The sequence below is a fragment of the Homo sapiens genome, chromosome 10 (assembly GCF_000001405.40).
Source record: "Homo sapiens chromosome 10, GRCh38.p14 Primary Assembly".
NCBI lineage: Eukaryota > Metazoa > Chordata > Mammalia > Primates > Hominidae > Homo > Homo sapiens.
Window position 1 is genome coordinate 91,291,468 of NC_000010.11, and position 6,000 is coordinate 91,297,467.

Sequence of the window (6,000 nt, forward strand, 5' to 3'; positions counted from 1 at the left end):
ATTCCAACTGCAAGTCCTCACACCATTCCCAAGAGTCAAGCAACACTGACCCATTCTCAAAGAAGAGTCTGTGTTTATCCACGCAGCAGCCATGCTCTCTCTCCCTTCTTCTGTCCCATGCCTCTGGCCGAGGGCACAGCCTCTAGTCTTCAGATCCCTCTGGGTCCGTTGACTCCGGGCAAGGCCTCCTTTAACTGCAGTCACACATGTCAAGCCTTCCTAAGGTGCTGCTGAAGCCCCACTCCCACTCGTTTGGGAGAAGGGAACAGCACCCTCCACCCCTCTGCCTGAAGGAACGGTGTTCACAGCACAGCTCACACCGCACAAAGCCTCTGCCTAAGATTTCTCTCCTTAGTTCCTGGACTATATCTTTGAAAGCTGGAAAGAGAGTCCCAGCCATCCAGGCAACCAGAGCCCCTGGACACTTTATTATCACTAGATCTGAGCAGACTCTCCCTCTGCATTTCTTCCACCTTCATGGCCAGAGGAACAGAGGTTGTCCAGGCTCCCAGGAAAACATGGCTCTCTCTATGGTTACCTCGTCCAGATGCAAGAGGACATACAGCCCTTCAAGCATAATCCAGCTCCTGATGGCAAAAGCAGATGAAGAGAGAGCCACCCATGCTCTGCTTTGCGGTGTCCAGTCCAGGGTCTTTCAGAACAGCCACCCCTGAGAGCCGAGGGCTGGCCTGTAGAGAGGGAGAGTGAAGCTCTGTCCGACGCACCATGGGCCAAATCTGCTGCTGATCTAAATGCAGAGGGCTCTGCCCCGACCACGGAGTCGGTGCCAGCTGTTCTGGGCTGGTCAGTACTGCCTACCGGCATCAAACGCCCTTCCTTTCTCAAGCTCCCCACATGGAAGCAGTTGGAGAGCACTTGCTGAAGGGGCAGGATGTGTTTGGGGAAGTTTTCCCCTTTGGGCTGACCCAGAAGTGAGATGGAAAGAGCCCGAGGACGGTGTCTGTGATTCTTCAAGATGTGCTCACTGAGGGGCGTCCGGGAGCTGCCACTGGAGTTCCCCTCCAAGGCGGCCCCATAGCTCCGGGTTGAATGGTGCAGTGATGGGGAGGTGAGAAAGGATCCAGGAGTCCAACCAAGGTGGGCTTTATTCATAGTTCAGCCACTCACTGGACTAGCCCTGTGACCATGGGTAGGTAGCTTCCCCTCTTCTTCACCCTGGACTTCCCTTCTCGTGACACTCATCTCAATTGCAACTGCTTGTGTAGAATCTGTCATCCCAGCCACAGTGCAAGCTCCCTGAGCACACAGACCAGGACTTGGTGTTCAACCCTATTGTCCCGGCTGGGCCTGGCCCATGGGAGGTCTCCAGAAAAAAGAAGGACCTGAGTGAATAATATGAGCAGTAACTCTCCTACACTATAAATTCAATGATGCTATTATTAATCCAGAAACAGTTTCAGTATCAACACCACCCCTAGACTGGGGCAAGAGAACATGCCATCCAATTGGGCCTCTCAGGCCACAGGAGGCTGTAGGGAGGGGAAGTGAAGGATTATGGTTTTTGCCCTGGGAAATGTAAAAGGGCTGCCATTTGGTTCAAGTCACATACCCCAAATCACCCCAAGTGGATGTCCAGGCGGACAGATCACTGTGCCTTCTACTTCACCTTTGCTTGGATGACAGTTTCAGGAAACCCTGGCTTCCTGGGCAGCTTGATAAGTCAGCCTCCATCCCAGGTCCAGTGGGTCCAGGTGGGTCCAGGTAACCTGGGAGCCTGGGCCACCTTCTGCCCCACCTGCCTTGAAATCACTCAAGTTCACAGGCAGCAGGAGTGCCCAGGGGAAGAACACCAGCGTCATTCTCTGGGGATCACACTGCAGGGCACTGGGTAAGAACAGAGGTTGGCTGTGGATGTGGCATTATATACAACTTTAAAATATTTAGGCACATGCTGTGTGGGCTTCATTTGTACACTTGCTTCAAGCCCTGCAAATTCAGGGGTGTATCTGCATGGTTGCTCAATGCTCAGGCTTAATTAGTCATGAGCTATCATTCCTTTGTGCTTTTAATCAATCTTTTTAAAGTTCCTACTATGTGCTGGATATTGTGCTAGGGTCAGGTTCTTTAAGGATCTCATTGTCCTCATCAGCTTCTCCAGTGAAGCTGACATTGTTCCACAAAGTCTCATGCTTAGTCATGAACTATAAGTTCCATCCAGACCCACCTGGCTTTCTTTCACCCCATCCTTGCCAATTTTATCCCCGTACTGAGGCTTGGATCAGGTCCCCTCCTACCTCCCTCTTAATCTACATAGCTAAGTAAATCCAAGCAGCCCTTCCTGTCTTAGCCTATACATCATTACCTAATAAGCAAACCTTTCCCAACTCAACTCAGGAGAACTTTCTTCAGAGAAAACTTTCCTGGCCTTCACAATTGGATCAAGCCTCCCATCAGAGGCTCTTGTAAATATCAGATATCTTCTTAGCATGTCACACTGGCAACTTTATGCTCCAGGATTGGATTGATAACTCTCTCCCACACTAGGCTGTTGAGTTTGATGGGCTCTACTGGATTCACGGCTGAATCTCTAGGGTTCAGCACAGTGTCTGACACATAGCAGGCACTCCAGGAATATTTACTGATTGAATTAAATAAATACAATGTAATGTATGGATAAATTCAATACATATTTCATGGCTTGAATTTGACCAACACTTATTGGGTTTCCATAAAACATACTATGAGTTAAGGCAAATAGTACCAAATGAGGACCATTGACATGTATTTTTGTGGAGCTTAAATGAAATAACTGTCCAGCTATGGAATTTATGGGGAATTCATGGGAGGCCGATGAAGAGATTGTATAATTACATTCTGTGGTCAGTTCTGCTCCCATCCTGCTCTGCTTGCACTCTTTACTAAGCACTGCTTTTCCTGATACTTTTTATGAGTCCTCATCTCTTCTTCTCTTTTTCCCTCCTATGTGTTTTTCAAATGCATTCATCATCAGCAAAATCAATCTAATATGCATGCCCTTTGACCCAGATCTTTCAGCTGAAGGATTCTATCTCCTAGAAATACTGCTATCATTACAAATGACATAATACAAAGAGTGTTCACAGCAGCAGTGTTTGTAATGACAAGGAAATGGAAACAAGATGCCTGCCAATAGAGGAATGGATTCATACATTCACACTATGACCTTGCAAAGAATGTGGTAGATCTATGTTCTGATGAGGAAAGCTGCATCTAATACCTGGCCAAGGAGGAAAAAGGCAAGTTGCCATGTAATATGTACATTGTGATCCCTCCCCCACAATCAACGTACATGTTTGCATACACGTGGTAGAAATTACACATTAAATTGCAACAATGGTTACCTTTCAGGAAGGACTTGGAGGGAGCTTGGGAAGGTCACTGTTACTTCTTGCTTTATACTCCTCTGTATTATCCAAATTTATGACAAAAATATGTTATATTTCTAGCTTAAAATCTTCAGTAATGTAAGTGATTAATTTGCTTGTTTATGATCTTTCTCTCCTCTCTAGGATGTAAACTCCATATAAGCAGAGACTTTGTCCACCTTTTCTCACCATCATCTCCACTGTACTTACAACATTGCCTGGAATACAGGAAGTGCTCAATGCATATTTTTTGAGTGACAGATCAATTTTTTAAAAAGAAAATTCCATTTTGACAAAACCTATCTTTCATATCCCCCTCCCCAACCCCTCCAAGTTTTTATTGGTGAAGTGACTGGGTGCTGAGGAATCTGAAATTCTCTGCCTCCATATGGTGGGCCTTGAATTAAGGTTGACCTCTTCCCTGTATCATTGGTTCCCATTATAAATGGGTTGAAAACCCATAAGGCCTCCTACATACAAATGTGAAAAAGACTCAAAGTTCTTAAGTGATAGAGTTTCAAGTAACAAAGAATGGGTTGTTTTAAAAGAGAAATCTTGATAATGGTTTAAAGTTAATCCCTTCAAAAGTAAGAGCTAAAAAAGAACATATTAAGTTAGAGACAAGGAACAAAAGCATGTGCTGTCTATCCAGTCGTTGAAAGGTCACAACTGTTTAACCACCAGATAATTCGACCTATTTAGAAGAGTCCAACAAAACCTCAAGAATATAATAGATTATAGCTTAGGAAAAGATCTGCAAAAATATGCACTAAATTGTATTCTGTGGTTACTGTTTCTCTTTAACTTTCCCTTTGCTTTACTGCAGAACCAACATACAGCCGCTCAGGAATGCACATAATCTCAAAGACCCGTGGGCTGTCTTGCCTTTTCTTCGCGAGTGGAATTCTAGAGTTTGGGGACTATGATGCACAGAGAGAAACTGGTCAGGTCCAAAGATCTCAGAACTTAGGGGTTTCATGTTGTGGACAAACAAGGAAGAGAAAAGAGGGAATATGTCAGTCATATCGCCTGGACCAGATGGTTCTGGGTTTGGGAATCCTCATTTCTTGCATCTTACAGTTACTTAATCTATTACTTCTGTGCTTTTGGTTTTCTCTTTACTGTATCAACAGGCTACTGCAGGGGTCATAGCCTGGACATGGCCAACCAGAAAGATACTCAAGGAATGCTCAACAAAAGATAGCAGGTACACTTGATCCCTGCATAGAGCCACAGAAAAATATCATTTGTGAATTTAACTGCTAGAGGCTAATGGAAATAAAATGCAAACAGCCTAAAGAATTTCCAGCTTAATCAATATTCTTTTTTATCTGTAATCTTTATTTGTAAAAGAGAAACCTACTGTTTTTCCCTTAAGTTGTGATGCCAGCATAATGTGATCTCATGCAATGTGGGTGAAAGTTAAATGATTTTTTAAAATAAATGTATAAGAGTAAGTTTAATAAGTAGAAAATTTTGGGATTGAATTTTATTTTCAAGGTAATATTTACAGAAAAATAAAATGAAGCATGTGGTTTGAGGTGAGAAGAAAGTTGGTTTGAGGTGAGGAGAAAGTAACGAGACCCTTTCACTTTTAGCTTCATTCTGTTCCATATCATCAAATTTGTTCCCCGTATCAGGAAGCAACAAACATAAAGAGATAAAAAGTGATCTCAGAAAGGGCAAAATCTATGGTGTACTCCAAATGCTGTATAAGTCCCTTGGGTTTCTTTCTCAGGAAGTCAATTCCCTGTCCCATGACTGCCAGCTAGGGCTTGTGGCTTCTCGCCAATGTTCCCCCATAAAAAAAAAAAAAAAAAAAAAATCAGCTCAAGGTGTGACTGCAGCTCAAGTCTGATCTCTCCTGGTCAACTGGGAAATTTACAGGGGATACTTGCCCTTTACCAGGGAACAAAATTCTAAGCCACAGGAAACAAACTGGAGGAGGATTAATTGTAGGCTGAAAGACTATTGGGATGACAGTGGAGGGAGACGCTTATAAAATGTTAAGCAATGTGTTATTTTTATGAGGTAAGAGACCATATACAAAACAAATCTAATATGTGTGGTTTAGAGCACAGGCTTTGTGGTCAGGGACCTGAATGCAAATATTTCTCTGCCATTTACTTTGGGCAAGTCACCTGCCTCTCTAAGGCTCAGTTTCCTCATCCATCATTTGTGTATGATAAAAAGACAGTGCGGTTCTCAGTAGTCAAGTGCTCAATAAAAAGTAGCCATTCACAGAAGACAAATTTTACATATTCTCACTCATTTGTGGGAACTAAAAATTAAAACAATTGAATTCATGGAGATAGAGAACACAATGATGATTACCATGGGCTGGGAGGGGCAGTAGGAAGTGGAAGACATTGGGGATGGTTAATGGGTACAAAAATATAGTTAGATAGAATAAATAAGAATGTGATAGCACAACAGGGTGACTACAGTCAACAGTAATTTATTGTACATTTAAAAATAACTAAAAGTATAATTGGAATGTTTGTGACACAAAGAAATGATAAATGCTTGAGGTGATAGATACTCCATTTACCCTGATGTGATTATAATGCATTGTATGCCTGTATCAAAACATCTCATATACCCCATAAATACACACTCCGACTATGTACTCATA